Raw genomic sequence first — 19767 nt, 5'->3', positions numbered from 1 at the left:
GGATGAGGAGCTGGCATTTTGAAACAGGTGCCGTGGGCTGGGAAGTCAGTAGGGGAAAATTGGAGTCATTGTCTTACTGTACCAAGCAGAGTTGTAGCCTGTGACTTTGAATTTGCAACAGATCATTTCAGCTTAGATTTTGGACAAAGAGGAGCTGTAGTCATAATTATAATAGTTTTTAATGATCTCCTTAGAGTGACTGTGTGGGCTGGAACAAAGAATAGAGAATAATTTTCTATGCGTAACATTTCCAAAATGCCATAACTATGTAGGAGAAATGGTTATGTGTTTGTAAAATGCACTGGCTTTCTCAAAATCACAGAAATCACAGATTTAGAAGCATTCTTAGGAGTCATCTAGTCTAACTGTGATTCTCATCTACCCACCACCAGATATATAAAGCCTAGCAAATAAAATCAGAAGTAATTTCATTAAACAGAACCCTTTGATAATCAGACCTAATATATTTCTCAAATACTTCATTTTTAATAATCAAGGAATATAAATTGTTATTATTAACTGTTGTGAATGTGAATTATAGATTGAAACAAACTTGCTGAGAAAACTGATGTTGTTAAGCAAGTACTTATTGAGGGCTTACACTATGCTAGGCGCTTCACACAAATTATTTGATCCTAGCGAAGGTGGTATTACTTAGGCAGATAAAAGCATTTAGAGATATTAAGCTATTTGAGATCCCACAGCTATTAAATGGCAGAACCAAAATTCAAAACTAGGTCTGTCTGATTCTAAAACAGAAACAGAAATATTACACAAAACATCCAGAATGATGGTCCAAATGTGCGGTTCATTTTTAAGGTTTGCAACCATCAAACAATTTATAAATTAGCTGAATAGACTTTTAGAATCAGACAAATCCAGTTTGAAATTGTATTTCTACCACCTATGGGGCCTAGGTCAAAGATCTGAACCTCTGCTTGCCTCTCTAATCTATAAAATGGGAATAATAGTCTCAAAGAATGCTTGTTAAGACTGTATGCAAAGTGCTTAGTAGTACAGTATCTGACAAACATTTATAGCTTTAAAAAAAGAAAGTTTTGTGTTTTTTTTTTTACTAGTATCATACTAATATAAGAAAGTGCCACATTCATTTTTGTCAGTGAAATTCAAGACTAGCATATCTTAGATTCGGCTACACCTGTGGCATATTGTGAACATCATGCATAACATGCATGAGTGTACATGTTTATCATGGTCAAACATAGGTACCATCAATAGCAAGAAAGGGCAGTGAGTAAGTCATTGCATCTGTGTCCCATTGAAACCTCCAGATCAGAAAGTGTGGAGATAGAAATGATGCTGCAGAAATTTCTAATCCAGTCCAATATTGTGAATGCCCAAGAACTAAATCTGAGATCCAAACAAATAAAATGTCTCGACCAAGATCACATCAGGAGTCAGTCCTAGTCCCAGGACAAGAATAAAGCCTTCTATCCCCTAGTTCCCAAGGCTGTACCCTCTATTTTCATTTTGCTAACTTAGAATATACACTGGTTTGGCAATTTTCTATTTTTATCAAAGAATCCTTAAAATACTTTGAGCATTCTATCCTAAGAAAATAATCAAAATAGGGTGGTATAGGGGGAGAGTAGGAGGGCCATATGCATGACGATATACTCTGGGGCATTTTTTTTCTATAATATCCCAAAATTGGAAGTAGCCATAAAAACGACTCACTTTGTTCTCTCCTTTACATCTTTGCTCAAGTCTCACCTTTCTTGTGAGCTCCATGCTAACCAGCCTATATAAATTAATTCCCTTGTTCCAAATCTCCCAGCCCCTTTCCTTTGTTTTATTTTTCCCATGACACCACCATTTTCTAACATATAACACAATTTACTTAGTTTTTAGTTTATTGATCAGCTCTTCACAAGGAGGTCAATCCAAGAGGGCATGGAATTTTGTTTTTTGTTAACTGCTATATTCACACTACCCAGAGCAACTCCGGGTAACCTAGTAGGGCTCAATGTTTGTTCAATGAATTCATGGATGAATGATCTCCAAAATGAGGAGACTGGGCTAGGGAATTAGGGGATAATATTTTATTCTACTTAGTTAAAGTGGTTATAAAATTAGAAAGCAAGTGTAAAAATCTATAGAATATGTTATGAAGTAAATAAAAAACAATATTCATATTCAAATAAATACTTAGGGGGAACTACATTAAACTATGCAACAGAAAAAGGATTGAAAGGGAATGCAAAAAGGGAGTGGGTTTTATGCTCTTCTTTTTCCATTTTAAAATGGATTTTGTTTCATTTGAGAACCACAGCAAGGTAGAAAGAAAGAAAAGGAAAGGAAGAGAGAGGGGATGAGAAAGAATTATAACCATGAAAGTTCTGTCTCCTTGGCTTGGATACTGTTGACCTGTATGTTCCTTGTCTAAATCCCTGGCATCTTTATCCAAAATGAAGATAAAACATTTCAGCAAAGGAGCATATTAAGGCTCAATTATCAGCCCGGTGCGGTGGCTCACGCCTGTAATTCCAGCACTTTTGGAGGCCAAGGCAGGCGGATCACGAGGTCAGGAGATCGAGACCATCCTGGCTAACACGGTGAACCCCGTCTCTACTAAAAATACAAAAAATTAGCCCGGCGTGGTGGCGGGCACCTGTAGTCCTGGCTACTCCGGAGGCGGAGGCAGGAGAATGGTGTGAACCCGGCAGGAGGAGCTTGCAGTGAGCTGAGATCGCGCCACTGCACTCCAGCCTCGGCGACAGAGCGAGACTCCGTCTCAAAAAAAAGGCTCAATTTTCCTCTTATTTCCAGAAACACGTGCTTTGCAGAATTGGCTCAGGCATTGGCAAGTTGCTACAGCTCACCATACTGTTTTGCTCAAATTCCCCATCCATTCCAGTACTTCCAGATCCCCTGACTTCCCTTTTACTATTCTTCTCTACATTCGTCTGTCTTGCCACTGTTTCGTTTTTAAGTTCTCCTTTTGTCCTGCCTTCATAGCTGTCATCCTCCTATGCCCACCTCTGTCCCAGGGTCACTCCTTGTTTTGTCCTCAGTCCCCAGTTTGTGTATGGGCACCTCCCTGAACAAATAAAGCCGTGGTACTGAGAGAACTCCAGGCCAGAAAAATCCAGAACAGCCCCGTCCCCTCGCCCTGCGTTTTTCATGCATCTCGAGCCTCTTGCCTGGAACATGTGTTCTCCGTCCACCTTTCTATGATGTGCACTAGGCCACCCCCCTCCATCCTTTCTGCAAAGGCAGTGCTAACGCTTTCTTTGCTGCAGCAGTCCTGCACCTTACCTATTCCCTTCTTGCTTACAAAGACAATCACAGGTCTTTACTCCTCACAGTGCAATAGGTTTATTACTCTTCATTTTCCCCCTAATGCTAAAGAACAGGTGTTCATATAATCCCAATGATAGCTGCTTACTCCCCAGAATCATGTAATTTTAGAATAGAAAGGAGTCTCAAAAGCCATCAGGTGAAATCCCATTACAGATCTATGATCAGTACAGTGCTAGGTGCATGGTAGGTGTTTGGAAAATATTTCCATCCATAAATATTATATAATCCGTCATTACGTACCACTATATGATAACTATTTTGTGCCATTAATGTTTCTAAATCATTTTTGCTTATCAGTTATTCACATCTGTTTATAAAATCTATGAATAAACTGGAGATCATTATGTTAAGTGAAATAAGCCAGGCACAGAAAGAGAAACATCACATGTTCTTACTTACTTATGGGATCCAAAAATGAAAACAATTCAACCCACAGAGAAAGGGAGTAGAAGGGTGGTTACCGGAGGCTGGGGTGGAGGGGAGGTGGGGATGGCTAATGGGTACCAAAAAATAGCTAGAATGAATGAATAAGGCCTACTATTTGATAGCACAACTGGGTGGCTATAGTCAATAATAATTTAATTGTACATTTAAAAATAACTAAAAGAGTATAATTGGATGGTTCATAACACAAACGATAAATGCTTGAGGGGATGGACACCCCATTTTCCATGATGTGGTTATTACACATTACATGCCTGTATCAAACCATCTCATGTACCCTGTAAATATATACACCTGCAATGTACCCACAAAAATTAAAAATAAAATAAAACAAAATAGAACTATGAATAATCACAGAGAAAGACTGTGCCTTAGAAGGCATGAGATAAAACTGAAAAGCTAGTTTCAGGCTAACAGGAGCAATGATACAAAATGGAAAAGATTGGTTACTGAAGTAAGGACAAGAAGGAATGGGCTAAAATCATGACAAAAGGCTCTTATATAAATAATAACATCTTTTCCTACTAAGAACTCTTAGATCATGTCAGGGCTTGCCAAAGGAAGCTGAAAAATGATGGTTCTTGAGGTTAGCAGCATATCTGGTAGGATTCAGGGGCAATTAAACTAGTTTTTTGATAAAGTAAAATAGAATAAATATGTTAAATAGTTCCCCCTATTTAATGGAAGAATGGAATGGAAATGGTTAGATTTCCATGGGAAATTGAAAATGATTGGAAAGAGCAAGCTCCTTATCTACCTTTAAGTTGCTAGCTTTCACAGCACCCCAGAGGCACAAGACCTGTCTTCATGGTACTTTTTGCTTAGGCAGTTGATTATTTTTAATGATTTCTTTTTTCTTTTTTTTGTGAGACGAAGTCTCACTCTGTCACTCAAGCTGGAGTGCAGTGGCGTGATCTCGGCTCACTGCAACCTCCACCTCCTGGGTTCAACCTATTCTCATGTCTCAGCCTCCCGAGTAGGTGGGATTACAGGCACCCGCCACCAGGCCCGGCTAATTTTTGTATTTTTAGTAGAGATGGAGTTTTGGGGTTTTGCCATATTGGTCAGGTTGGCCTCGAACTCCTGATCTCAGGTGATCTACCCGCCTCAGACTCTCAAAGTGCTGGGATTACAGGCAAGCGCCACCGCGCCCAGCCTTTTAATGATAATTTTTATATTAATAATTGTCATTTTTCTTTCTTTCAGGCTTGTAAATTTTATAGTTCCCAGTGGCATGTGGTAAACTACAAATATGAACAATATTCTGGAGACATTCGACAGCTACCCCGGTAAGAACCTGTTATGAGCACTTATTGGTCTTTTCCAAATATAGATGACATCCTCTGTTCTAGTCCTGCCATTGTTCATGAATACACGTACATTAATCTTCTGTCAAGGCACATTTTCCAAAATGTATAAGTAAGAGTCAAGATAGGACATTTTGTTCAACATGTGTAGTTTGCATCATCACAGAGTTTGGATTCAGATATAAATATACTCTGATTTAATTTTTTAATGTAGTTTTGACGTTCATTTATCATTGTATTATTATTCTGTGAGCTGTTTTTTCAATAGCAGGCACAAGAAGATTAGAAAAGTACCATATGGCCAAATAGTTTTTCTGACAATATTCTGTATAGCATTCATATTTGTTACTTGTTTCATGTATTTTCATGCTGGGATATCAGAAGTCATGAAAATAAACAACTTCCACAAAAGACATATATATATATATATATATACACACACACGCACACACACACACACACAACCAAAAGGAAAATAAACACCTGATTTTTTCCTGACTCTCAGGAACATAAGCCTTTGGAGAAAGTAATTTTGTTCTGCTTCTGCTCAAAAGTCACCTCCACAGAAAAGCTCACCTGACTACCTGAACAAAAATAGAAATTAATTCAGTGTCTGTTTCCCCTTCTAAAGTAAAAATCCCCAAAGGGCAGGGACTTTTCCCTGCAGAATCCCCTGCAGGCCTGTAAGAAGAATGCCTGGCACATAGTAGGTGTGCAGTACTATAATTACTTATTGGACGAACAAACAGAGTAAATGGCAAATTTTAAAATATAATATTCCTGGATGGGTTTGGAGTTGCTCATATTTAAAGAACTTCCTTGAACTGGTTCTACCCAACTCACTGGTTCATCAAGCTAAGATTATGTAAATAATTCAGAAAAACACTTGAAACAATCAAAAGTTAAGTTTGTATTAACACTCTCCTCAAGTGAAGCACTGATATGATACACATTGGATCTAATTTTTAATAGACACATGGTACAGAATTGGGAACCACTTTGCTATATTTCCTGTGGCCCCAGAAGCACCTTTTCAAGACTTGTATACTTGGAAGCATTGCTCTCAATTTCCGAATGCGGAATTTGAAAGAGGGATTATGAACTAGATTTAAGAAGGTGACATTTGATCTTGGATATGAATCGGCAGTAGCTGCCAACACAGGCATCTTGGGAAAGGATTCTGGAGAAGCAGCAAGGCAAAGACCCTGAAGTGGTGGGAACCAGTATGGTCACTTGAGTCAGGAAGGCTAGAGCTTAAGGATGAAAGGGGCGTAATAAGATGAAACCAAGGACCTTAGGCAAGGGACCCTGTGTGCCCTGGAAAGGAGCTTGGATTTTACTTTCATTGCAACAAAAGCCTTTGGAAATTTCAACCAGGGGTGTGGCATGATCTGGTTTACCTCTTTGAAAGAACTCTTGGGCTACTCTATGGAGAATGGGACTGCAGGGGTGGCAATCGAAGAAAAAGACAGGAGGAGGCCATTTATTTTGGGGTTTCATTACCGTGAAGAGAAAAAAAGTATGTCCCTTCTAAACTGCAAATCTTTTTTCAAAACACTGAACAGTAACGTTTACCAGATCTTTGAGCATTCTTTTTGACTTGAATCCCTGCTGATAGACAAGCTCTTGCAACTTCATGTTGGGAAGGTTTACCACACCCTAAGCTTTCATGAGTAATTGTTACATTCAGAATGTCTGGGTGTTCATGACACAGTTTTTGTAGGCACAACTGAAAAGCAAAGCATCTTTTAACATCAGGACTTCCTCTTTCTGAAAATAGTTCTGAGAAGTGGTTACAACTCGGAAGTTGGGAGACTGCATCTCAAGTTGAGAGGATGGAGACAGCCGTATTTAGCCATCCTTTTAACTAAATGTGTTCCCACCATCTTTAGGTCCATTACACTCTTCAGTGGCTGTATCCCCAAACACTGTTCATCTTTCCTTATATTCATGATGCTGTAAAGAAAGAAAGCAAATTAGAGATTTCACATTCACAGTATTCTTCCTCTGTTAAAACAATGGAGAAAGCATCTCTAGAAAAAACCAATCCCGGACATTATTGCTTAATTGCAATTCTCATAGTTTGCAAGATTAATCTCATGAGAAGAAATAAAAAAAATTAACTGAAGTATTGTTGAGAATTTCCCTTACTTTAACTAAAGAAAGTGGAAGTTAATACCAAGAAAGGGAAGAATCAGACTGCCACAAAGTAAGAAACTTTATGTATTCAAACTGAAAATCAGAAGTTCAAAAATATAACCCTTTCAGATATACCCCAGAACAATGAAGATGAGCACTGAACAGCAGAATTATTCTTTAAAATGATTTTACAAAGCTAAGCATTCCCCTCTAAAGACTACATGTATTTAGGTCAGTAATGGAAACAGACAATTTACTTGGGTCTTCCGAGGCTAATAGAAGTAAATCATTTTCATACCTCCTGGATTAGAAGAATTCTCCTATGTCTGCTACCAATTTAAATTGCTTATTTCTTTTTATGAGTTGCTGAGACTGCAAAATGAAAATTTGCAATTATAGAAAAGCAAAAAAAAAGGTGAAATTTATTCTTTAAATTTAAATGTGTATTATTGACTCTTAAGATTTTCACTTTTTTTATTTTTAAGCGAGGGTCCATAGGAAGATACTGAAGAAATAGATGACTTCAGGCTAGAATGGAAAATGTAAGCCTTTACACACTAGGAATAGAAATCAGCACTAACTTGGAGATCCCAGAAGAAAAAAGCAGCATAAAAATATATGATGCCACTGATTTCATTAATCCACTGGGTAAAATACAGAGATGTGTGACATATTAAAATTTTTTACCATGGTCGATTTGATAGAAAGAAGATGTAAGGAAGAAAAATTCATAAGAGTATAAATTGTGACTAAAGATCAAATAAAGTGTGACCAGCTTAGCTGGGCTGAAATAGAACAGTTTTTGTTTTTTTTTTAATAAAAGAGCATTTTTTTGAGTGTCTACAGTGAGCCAGAATGTGCTGGGTGTCATACATGCATTATCTCATTTAATACTCATAACCCTATGGAATAGGAACTGTTATCCTCATTTTATAGCAGAAACTCGGAAACTGAGAGGGAATTTACCCCAAAACTTACAGCTGATAACTGATGGGGCACTCAGGCATCCCACACTGGGTAATCCAGGTCATTTGGTCAGAGAAAAGAGAAATGAGGCTGCCTATAGTTATCACCAATGTCGGATGCAAACACCAAAGGGTAAGGTCTGGGATGAGCCCTTTATCTTGGTATCCCCGAGGCTCTTAGAGACCACGCAATGGTCCTGGGGGAAGAATTTTAAAGTCAATAGCCACAGGTGCTGATCTTTTCATGACCTTTAAAAGAGAGAAGTCATTGCATAGTAGCCCCACAGACATGTGACTGAGCTTGAAGATTGCTCTTTAAAGGCAGGAGGCTGTGCCTTGTGGCTTATTAAAAACCGGATTGGGAAATAAGAATCTTCAGTAGCCCTCAAGCCTCAGCAATGATCCAAGCACTGTCTGCCTTCCCTGCCCAAGGGCATTGGACAGGCCTCCCTCCCGCAGCCCTCCCTCCTGCACTGTTTCCAGCCCCTACAGCCTTCCTTCCTGGATGCTCCACACTTGGCCCCTCCTCAGAACCTGTACTCTTGCAGCTCCCTCTGCCAGGGGATTTTCTCCTAGGTCATCACACAACCAGCTGCTTCTCCTCCTCAATTTAAATGTTACCTCTCGAGAGAGGCCATCCTTGAAGAGTCTTTCTACACGTGGCCTTTGCCATTTCCACAAGGATCACTCATCGCTCTTCTCCTCTTTCTCCTCTTCGATTTTTTTCTTTTCTTTTCTTTTCTTTCTTTCTTTTTTTTTTTTTTTTTTTTTTTTTGAGACAGGGTCTCACTTCGTCCCCAGGCTGGAGTGCAGTGACACAATCTCAGCTCACCGCAACCTCCACCTCTCGGGTTCAAAGGATCCTCCTGCCTTAGCCTCCCAATTAGGTGGGATTACAGGTGTAGGCCACCATGCCTGGCTAATTTTTTTGTGTTTTTAGTGGAGACAGGGTTTCACTATGTTGGCCAGGCTGGTCTTTAACTCCTGACCTCAAGCGATCCACCAGCCTCGGCCTCCCAAAGTGCTGGGATTACAGCCGTGAGCTGCTACACCCAGCCTTGATTTTCTTAACAACCATTTTCACTCAGAGAAATTATCTTATTTCTGCTTAATTCATGATTGACTCTCTCCTCCCCTAGAATGCAAGCTTCCTCAGTTCAGGAACTTATTTTCTGATATGTGGTTGACATTATTGCAGCTCTTCTGGGAGCCAGGTAATATCTGGAAACTGGAATGTTGAATGGCAAAGGAGAATGGCCCCCAAGAATTAAGACAGTTCTCAATAATGCACTTTGAATTTGATCAAGCAAACTCAGAATTAAGAAAAACCACCAGTGAAGTGGCACGCTTACATTCACTACAACCCTAGCCCCAGATCTGACTTAAATTGACAGTCTCTGGTCTGCATAATTTTTAAAAGTGAAGATTAAGATCAGCATGGATGTGGCTAGGGACTACTGGGGTTGACTGAGTTTTGCTATTGACTTCGTTGGTATTCTTTGTCTCATATCTTCTGAGTTTTGCTATTGACTTCATTGGTATTCTCTGTCTCATATCTTCTGAGTTATTTTTGAATCATTAATACTTAAAGTGGATGTTTAAATAAAGTTTTATTTTATTAAAGAAAGAGTATGGAAATGTCATAAGTTGTAATATAGCGTTAAATATGACATTTGGGAAATTCCTAAAAACGTTTCCAATCATTTGTCTGAAGCTCTCTTCTCTCTTTTCTAAATCATCTATTCTTCAAAAATATCAGGGAAAAATCACTGAGAAATTTTTACTCAACCTTTACTTTGAGAATAGTTTATATGTATCTGTTGTACAATTTTTTATTATCTTTACTATAAAAAAGAATCAGTTCAGAAGACATCACTTTTGGTCACTCTATGTATAATTTCAACACTTTCAAATTTTTCACACATCACTTTAAAAGTTTTCTGCAAATTTTAAACCTAGGAAAAAGTTAAAAGATTGGTGTACAATGAATCCCACTATTCCCATCACCTAGAATGTGTCTTTCATGTTTTGCTGTATTTGTTTTATTACACAACCTGTCCATCCATCCACCCATCCATCCATCCATCCATCCATCCATCATCCATCCTTCTAGACATCTATCAATTTGGTTTATTTTTTGGTCATTTTAAAGTGGAATTTAAAACATTGACACACTGCCTCTCTAGACTCTTCGGAATGCACGCCTTTAAATACAGCTATAGATGTCTGCAGTTCATTTTTTCTCTTTTGATATAAAATGTACATACAAGAAAACATGCAAATTGTAAGTGAACCATTTGATAACTTTTGACCACAGTACACGTGTGCAACTCAAACCTCTGTTGAGATAACAGAACAATGTTATCACCCCCAAAGAGTTAACTACCACCCCTCCCTGGTTAACCCTCACCTCTCCTTTTCTCTCCCCCAAGAGACAATCAGTGCTCTGATTTTCATAACCATGGAATCATACCATGTGTGTTCCTGTTTCTAGCTTTTCTTACTCAGCACAATGCTTCTGAGTGATATCCACGTTGTTGCACGTATCAGTAGCTTCTTTTCCTTTCTGAGTAACATTCCTGTGTGTGGATCTACTGTAGTTTGTTTAGACATCCTCCAGTGACAGACACTTCTGCGGCATTCTGAGCTGAGTTGGTCATAAGTCACTAAATCTATGGGCTTTTTTGTGAAATTTATAGTCTATCTCAGTCATTAGTTCCACTTCTCAACTGGGAGATTTGTGAAAAAAACTTTCACAAGCATTTAGCCTTTTACATTGAAATTCAAGAGAACCTTACTTTGTTTCATCACATTTTTGTTTTTACATCGTTACTAGTTTGAAAGGCTTTCTCTCCTCCTTGTTTATAAGTATCTTGCGGAAATTTACATTAATGCGACGCCTGGCCTGTATTGTGATCCACAGTTATTGAGAACAAATACCTACAAAATTATTCTTTTGGAAGGAAGGATAAGCCATGCTGGCCAAAGAGGACAGAATAGGAGGTTCAGAAACAAATACCATTGCATCAAGGTCAAATGAAACTGATGGGAAATGACTAGCACGGGGCCAAATGTTGACATTCCACTTTCAAGTTTGTCTTTGTTGCCTCTTCCTTGGTTTTCCCGATTCACTCTTTTTTCATTCACTTGGGATGTTTCCTCCGTTCTTTCTTTACTGCTGTGCCACCATTTTAAGAATCCTGGAACACTCATCTTCTGTTCTCTGCAGACAGGGTACCTGGAGCAATTGCTCTGAAATCAACCATTGGAACCTTCCTCTGAATCTCAGGCAACATGTCACCTCTCACAGGAGTGGGGGAGAGGGAAGGGTTGTATTTACAGGCTTTATTTTTGCCAATCAAATTAAAAGGTGAGAGAGACTGCTTCTTGTTCAGAGCATGTTAGATGGTATTAAGGAGAAAAGGAATATTTTTGGTGGGGTAGCAAGAATTTCCCAGTGATCCTAAAAGAACTCTGTCTTCTGCTACTTCCTCTGCCATCCCATAAAGTTGACCCTGACCAAAAGAGGCAGAACAAGTTAACATCAGTGCAGGCAGCAGTGATAGGCTTGACTATCTCTAAGACTCTACAAGAAGAAAGGATAACCTCCTTTGGAAGAGAGAAATGGCAGCAATCTTACTTAATGTGCTTATTAAAGATTCACCTTTCCTAAATGCAGGCTTCTAATACCATCTCTTGAAAGTGATTACAATGATAAATTTCCATGTTATGTCTATTTTATCACAATAAAAAACACTTCTTATCAGGAATGGAGAACATGGTTCTGATCTCAGGCTTTTCATAGTTTAACAGTGAGGCCAATGTTCCTTTTGTGCTCTAACTTTCCCTGCTGAAAATGAAGGGAGGGTAAGCATATTTTGAAGCCCTCACTTAACACCTATGTGAGTGCACAGAATAGCAATTTTATGCATACTTAAGTCTAAAGAGCTCTGATCATTCACCTTCCTATCTGGAGTACCATCAACATAGGAAATAATTTCTGATGTGAATACCAAATGCACTTCTGATCTTTCCTTTCTCAATAGTCAGATTCAGAGGTTGCTTTTACACAATATAAATAATCTTAAAACAAATACCGTTTTATTATCTCTGCATATTTAATTTTTTTAAGATTCCACATATAAATGAGATCCTACAATTTTTTTCTCCACGTCTGGCTTATTTCATTTAGCATAGTGTCCTCCAGGTCCATCCATATCATGGCAAATGGCAGAATCCCTACTTTTTAAGGCTGAATAATATTCCATTTTACACACACACACATTAATATATACATACACACATATGTAGTCACACACAAATATATTCACACATACATATTCACACACATACATACACACATATATATTCACACATACAAAAACATATATTCACACACATACATACACATATATATTCACACACACATACACACATATATTCACACACATACATACACATATTCACACCACATATACATACACACATATATATTCACACATATATACATGCACACACATATATTCACATAAATATATACACACATATATTCACACACATATACATACAAACACATATATATTCACACACGTATATACATACACACACAGACAAACACACATATACATTGAAACCTCCTAAGTGTCCATTGACAGAGGAATGAATAAAGAGAATGCTATACACACACATGTATTCACACACATATATACATACATGCATGTATATTCACACACATATATACATACACTCATATATATTCATATATACATGCACACACATATATATTCACACACATATACATACAATACATACAGACACACACATATGTATTCACACATGTATACACACGCACACGCACACACATATATGGAAACGTCCTAAGTGTCCATTGACAGAGGAATAGATAAGAGAATGCTAGACACACACACACACACACACACACACACACACACAGGCCTATATTAATATATTAAACATTCTCTTTATCCATTCCTCTTTCAATGGACACTTAGAATGTTTCCATATATTGGCTAGTATGAATAATGCCACAATGATGATGGGAGTGCAGATATCTTTATAAGCTGGCGACTTTATCTCCTTCAAATATATACCCAGAGGAGGAATTGCTGGGTCATATGCTAGTTCTATTTTTAATTTACTTAGAAACCTCCATACTGTTTCCCATAATGCTTGTAGCAATCTACATTCTCACCAACAGTTACCAGGGGTGAGAGGAAACAGGGAGAAGTCAATGAACTGATGCAAAGTAGCACATGTGCAGGATGAAGTCTAGAGAGCTAATGTACAACAAGAGGACTAAAGTTAGTGAAATCAGATTGCATTAGTGATTTTGCTTAAATCAGTAGATTTTACTGCTCTTATTACAAAAAAGTAACTATTGAGATGATAGTTATGTTAATTTGCTTCACTATAATACCATTTTACTATCTACATGTATCCCTCCCATACCACCATGTTGTAAACCTCAAGCATATCCAATAAAATTTACTTTAAAAAAGAAAAACATCCCATGAAATTTTTATACATGGGAGTTTATATAGTAAAGGGGGCCAAACAGCTAGACATCAAGAAATGCCCATACTTTGGATGGTATTGTCTGGTTTCCATTCAACCATTAGTTATGAGATAGAATCAAGCCAAAGAAAACTTATTTGTGGTTTATTTTCCATTTATAAAACCAGATGCACACTCTTGTTTCTCTGAGCTGGTCGGAGATGTTGCAACTTGAATAGGCATTTCTAGGATACCATGGAAATGCACAAAGTAAGTGTAATTGCTACCAGTCCCTTTGGTGCACATTTTTGAGGAGGCCATGGTTAGGGAGCAACACAGCCTAGTGGCCACAGTACAGACTGGTTCTCAGGGTCATGGTTCTTCAGGGCTGGGGCTCTTCCAGTGACTACTGTGTACCCTTGAGTATGTCACATACAGATGACACAGAAATGACAATGAAAATATCACTACTTATTAAGTAGTGATTCCACCTACAAATGTGGGGGAAGGAAAATAGAAACTCCCCAACCTTTCAAATTGTCCTGCTTGCCTACATCTAACTCAAAAAGATATGTGTAAGTTTATGTAATTAGAAGGCCAAACGCCAGTGGCTCATGCCTATAATTCCAGCACTTTGGGAGACTGAGGTGGGAGGATAGTTTGAGGCCAGGAGTTCAAGACCAGCCTGACCAACATCACAAAACCCCATCCCCACAAAAAATACAAAAATGGTGGTACATGCCTGTAATCCCAGGTACTACTTGGGGGGGTGTTGGGGGTGCTGCATGCAGCATGAGAATCGCTTCAACCCGGGAGGTGGAGGTTGCAGTGAGCCGAGATCATGCCACTGCACTTTAGCCTGAGCGACAGAGTGAGACTGTCTCAAATATATATATATAATTAGTAACTCCATGGTTTAAAATAGAGATTTATATACTGGAGATAAGATATCATGGCAGAGGAAAGTTAATACTTTCAAAGGAAATGAGACACTCAAAAGATTACATTATTTTACAGAAATTTGTAAGAACACCAGCACCATAGTTGTTATTGTTACCTGGGGAGCAACTTAAAATGAAAGCTGTCTCCAATGACAAATCAGAATCTTTTTTTTTTTTTAATATCAGAGCAGAATACAAACCAGAGAAGCTTCCTTCACATTCCTTTGAGATTGACCATGAAGATGCTGATAAGGATGAAGTAAGTAAATAGTTGAAAGTGAGATGTTTAAAACATGAGGATAATTAGTTTCTGTCTTGCACTGAAAGTTTCGAGTTCTGACCGGTTTGTTGTAAGCTGTAGTAGCTGTTGGTGGTAGGGCTTTTAGTCAAAATGAGTCACGTTTGTTTTGAAATTGAACATGCTTATTTAAGATGAGTCAAAGAGAGGAAGAGGAGTCTCTTTTTTAAATGCAGTGTCTAGGATCTAGGATCCACAAAAGATGGCTGTCATGCTACTATGCCTTTCCTACAGGATACCACTTCCCACTCGTCTTCCAAGGGGGGTGGAGGAGCGGGAGGAACTGGTGTTTTCAAGTCCGGCTGGCTCTACAAGGGGAATTTTAACAGCACCGTGAACAACACCGTTACTGTTCGGGTAAGGAGATATCAAGACTCATCTTTATCTCTGTCACCCTTCTTAACACTCCCTCCTCTGGTCACAGCACAGAAGAGAGCCATTTGCATTGAGTTTATGTTTCATATAATATTTTATTTATGAGGAAGTAGGATGCTCTTCTCTAGAAAAATGTCCTAGAAATATAGCACTCCTGAAGGAATTAGAATAATTCTAATTTCTATGAGTAATAGCACATTACAATTTGAATATCTCCTTATATCTTTTCCTTTATTTAGTCATTCAAAAAGCGCTACTTCCAGCTGACTCAGTTACCAGATAACTCCTACATTATGAACTTTTACAAAGATGAGAAAATATCCAAAGAACCCAAAGGATGCATCTTTTTGGATTCCTGTACAGGAGTGGTGCAGGTGAGTAGACATCCCTTTTCCTCCTTGGGATTTTTTTTTATTTGAAAAGTATATTTAACAAATATTCATGGAGTATCTGATATGAGCCAAGAGCTGCTCTAGATTCTAAGAATTCTGTGAAAAACAAGGCAGCCTGGATCTCTACTTTCACAAATCTTACTTTCCAGAGAGAAAGAAAAACAGGAATTAAGCAAAGACATGAATAAGCAGAATGGAATCAGCTGGTAAATTTTTCAATAAAGAAAATAAACAGAGAAACAAAAGGGAGACAGAAGAGTGGTGAGGTTGAAAAGGAATATTAATACTCAATAAGGGAGAAGAGCATTTTTGAAGAGAGATCATTTGATCTACAGACCAAAGAATGAGCAGAGGGCCAGGCGCAGGGGCTCACACCTGTAATCCCAACACTTTGGGAGGCCAAGGCGGGTGGATCACTTGAGGTCAGGAGTTGGAGACTAGCTAGGCCAACATGGTGAAACCCCATCTCTACTAAAAATACAAAAATTAGCCAGATGCGGTGGCACAGGCCTGTAATCCCAGCTACTGGGGAGGCTAAGGCAGGAGAATCACTTGAACCCAGGAGGCGGAGGTTGCAGTGAGCCGAGATCGTGCCACTGCACTCCAGACTGGGTGACAGAGAGAGACTCTGTCTCAAAAAACAAACAAACAACAAAAAAAGAATAAGCAAAGGCAGCAAGTTCAAAGGCCCTGCGGCAGGGGCAAGTCTCAGATATTCAAAGACAAGCAGATAATTAGCACCCATGTTTGCTGCCATGTAGAGAACCCCTGAGATAATGAAATTCAGTAAAATAATATGCAAATGACATGGTATTAACATACGCACTTCAAATATGTTATTTTATAATTAAGTAATAATGATAGAGTAAGTTGACAGTGTACATATGCAGCATCTTTCTTCTAAGAGGTGGCTGTCTTCAAAGACAAGGATTCCACTGATTCCAGAGAGTCTAATTTCAGAAGCAGACATAGTGCTTTTAACAAATAATGTTCTCTATAAGCTCTTGGTCTTCAAATTATTGTCCTTAGTATGAAATTCAGCACGGGCCACTGTGGCAAAGGGAAGCAGAATAATTCCATAGACCCCATTTGGACATTTGGCTTTCGAATCGCTGCTTCCTACTCTGATGAAATAACTGACCTTATTCCCTTTTATGTAATCATGGGAGCAATCAAAAGTGTTTTAGCAACCTTCCCTCAAATTTCACAATGGCACTGGCTCACTGAGGTCCAGGACTCTATTTCTGGTCACAGGCCAGTAGAGAAGTACTTTCTGTTACCCTCAAACCTCAGCATTCACCTAGCTTGTTACGAGCTGAAATTACATCACAGACCACTCCTGGAGGCCCTTGGATATGTGGATGCAAGTAGAGTTCTCTCCAGTCATTTAGTCCCGGCCTATTTCTGGATGGTTTATCTGTTAAAATCTGGAATTCTTCCAGGAAGTAATAAAGCTGAACTTTAAAAGGAAAAAATTAACTGTTTCTGAGCACTCTGCTGCAAGTGAAAGATAATTGCATTTTAACACAGATGCCAGCTTTCCATATGGAAAGGGCAATAATGACCTTAATGGAGGGTGGAGGCTATTTTCTACTGTTGGTCACAAAGGACACCTTTTGGCCTTAGAAACATGAAGTAAAACGTTAGCAGTAAAGATCAATAACTGCATTTTATAGACATTGAGCAGAAAATGTTAAATATTATCCTTTCCATTTGTACTTGAAAGCTTTCTCTAGCAAATGAGTCATCATTTTTTAAGAAGTACCATTGTAGTCTTTTGTTATATATTAAGTTTGCAGAAACCCAGGTTAATATGCAATATTTTTCTTCTTCAAAGAATCATAGAACTTATTGCTCTAATCTGACCTTCCTATGGAGGAACTGCTTCTCCATCATCTCTTACTTAGATTGTGTTTCAGTCTCTGCTTAAACATTGTCATGGAAAAAAAGGAGTATTGAAGGGAAAACACAAGCTTGGGATTCATGCAAGTCCGCATTCAAATCCTAGTTTTACCATTTACTACCCAAAGACTTTGAGTAAGTTACTTGACCAATTTGATCTCAGGTTCCTCATCTGTAAAACTAGAACAATGTGCTAATATGTGAAAAGAACTGGGAGATAGTGTATTTAGCCTTTCTCCCCTAATTCTTCCATTAATTTCAAAGGTCACAACCTAGGATATAGACATTCCATTATGGGAAAGTCTTCCTAGAAAACCTTGATTTACGTTCCGGATATTTTTTCCTAAGTGTGTTAATTTATCTATGTCTTTATTTATTCATTAACCTACTGATTCATTCAACAAACCCACTTAGTGCCTATGACATGCTAGAAACTACACCCAGGTGTGGGGAAGTCAATTCTTTATTGAAGTCAGAATCAGAGAGGGGCATCGCTACTTGCTCACTATCACACGATATCTCGAGAGCGATGATGGAGGTATGAATGGCAGAGACCATGGAATGCTCTGGGAACATGAAACAATGATGAACTCTTTCAGCTCAGGCTGTAAGTCTGTACAGAAAAAGCTGGGCCTGTCTATAATATTCCCCAAGGTAGATTTGGCATATGTATCTTTTAAAGAGTTCACCTCTATCCCTGCATTTATATTCCTCTTCATCAAGAAGCTTTATCCAGTATTCTCTACATCCTTTGTAGAGGCAGGGACCAGTTTCTTGGGATCACTCTGGGGAGACAAAACCTGGGTCACTTGTCACTTTGTGTGTGGGTCCCAGTTCTTACATATTTGCTTATAGTTCTTCCAGATGTGTAAGTTTTTACATCTGGAGAGAATTTGAGTGAAATAGTGCCAGTTTAACCATAGTTCTAGTAAGCTCTCAGGCATGAAATGTGCCTGAAGATGAATCATGTACACACAAAAGCACAGAGCAAATGAATAACTAGGATGAATCAGACCAGTTTTATGAAGAATCATTGCCAGGTTCCGTTGAATCAAACAAAAAAGAGGAACAACGTCTCTGCCTCAGAAAGTACTACTTAGCATCCAGCATTCTTAGGGAGTTCAAGTTCATTATAATCTTTAGTGAATATGCCATTTCAGTTTGATTCATTCAGACTTAATCCATATCATCGTTTTCCTTAGAATACTTTGGAATTCTTAGACGTATATTACAAGGGTGGCTCAAGTAGAGAGAAACTCCTTCCCAGCTTTCTCAGAGACTTTAGGTAATGTTTATGACTGACAATTTCCTGAATCTTGGCCAAAAAAAACACAAAACAAAACAAAGCCTAATCATGGTTTTCTATTTTTTCATAATATCATCAAAGAGTATTAGATATTTTTTATGGGCCTATGCTCCCAATCTGGAAAAGAACTTGGTTTTTGCTGCTTCAAGTTTTTTCTTCTGGGACTAAGAGATATTTAGGCCTGTGTTATCCTATCTTGTTCCTTCAGTTCATGTATTCATTCATTCATTCTCACATTCATTCATCTATCCATCCATTCATTCCAGGTTCTGCCACTGTAGAAGAGAATGAACAGCCCAAGAATCTCATCTGTTTTAGGTCCCTATCTCAGCAATGATAATAAGCTGATGTCACTTTAGACAGGCTTACATGGGTGTGGACAGTGTGGTGGACAAGGCTCATTTCCTTGAGTCTGCCACCATGTGGATATGGGTTCCAAGACAGTGGCTTCATGTGACTAACCAAAGGCTAGAAATGCAGATACCTCCTGTAGGTCAAGCAGCCCCCTGCATGCATGAAGAGAGGCCAGGTGTGAGAAACAGATGCAGCTTGGACTATGTAGACGTGGAGAATGCCTGCCTACAGAAAGCAAGTCATATTGGGAGCAGGGGAAAGAACATTACAAGGAAAACAAATCTAGAAGCCAAATATGACCCGTAAGCCTCGCATTAGCAACTCAAGTTCTGAAAATCTCACTTCCGAGAACAATAAGAACCAAAATTATACTTGTGGTTTTCTTCATCTAATATATTATTTGACAGCACTTGATGGAACATGAACTATGATTGTTCCATTTATTAAAATAAAATTCAGAGAGGTAGAGTGTCTTTCACAGGTCACAGAGCTAATGAATTGCAAAG

The 19767-nt window shown here is 38.5% G+C and overlaps 1 protein-coding gene across 23 annotated transcripts in view, besides 2 other annotated features; it reads left to right on the top strand.

Moving 5' to 3' along the window:
- The window catches only part of DOCK10 (dedicator of cytokinesis 10), a 277379-nt gene that overhangs the window by 141117 nt on the left and 116495 nt on the right, over nucleotides 1-19767 (top strand). For all 23 annotated transcript variants that reach the window (XM_047444930.1, XM_047444929.1, XM_047444922.1 and 20 more), the window contains exons 4-7: nucleotides 4975-5057; nucleotides 14821-14893; nucleotides 15167-15289; nucleotides 15547-15681. In XM_047444930.1, the coding sequence (XP_047300886.1) occupies nucleotides 4975-5057; nucleotides 14821-14893; nucleotides 15167-15289; nucleotides 15547-15681 (414 nt within the window). The remainder of the gene's footprint in view (nucleotides 1-4974; nucleotides 5058-14820; nucleotides 14894-15166; nucleotides 15290-15546; nucleotides 15682-19767) is intronic.
- Nucleotides 8116-8742: an enhancer, noted in NCBI's record as "NANOG hESC enhancer chr2:225757327-225757953 (GRCh37/hg19 assembly coordinates)". NCBI's record gives its function as "activates a minimal SCP1, AML or CMV promoter by ChIP-STARR-seq in naive H9 embryonic stem cells {active_cell/tissue: H9 hESC(naive)}" and the evidence as "EXISTENCE:reporter gene assay evidence [ECO:0000049][PMID:30033119]".
- Nucleotides 15130-15179: an enhancer, noted in NCBI's record as "active region_17188". NCBI's record gives its function as "activates an Ori minimal core promoter by ATAC-STARR-seq in GM12878 lymphoblastoid cells {active_cell/tissue: GM12878}" and the evidence as "EXISTENCE:reporter gene assay evidence [ECO:0000049][PMID:35858748]".

The sequence above is a fragment of the Homo sapiens genome, chromosome 2 (genome assembly GCF_000001405.40).
Source record: "Homo sapiens chromosome 2, GRCh38.p14 Primary Assembly".
Classification (NCBI taxonomy): Eukaryota; Metazoa; Chordata; class Mammalia; order Primates; family Hominidae; genus Homo; species Homo sapiens.
The sequence above is the reverse complement of the archived record's forward strand: the minus strand, read 5'-3'. Positions and strand labels throughout refer to the sequence as shown.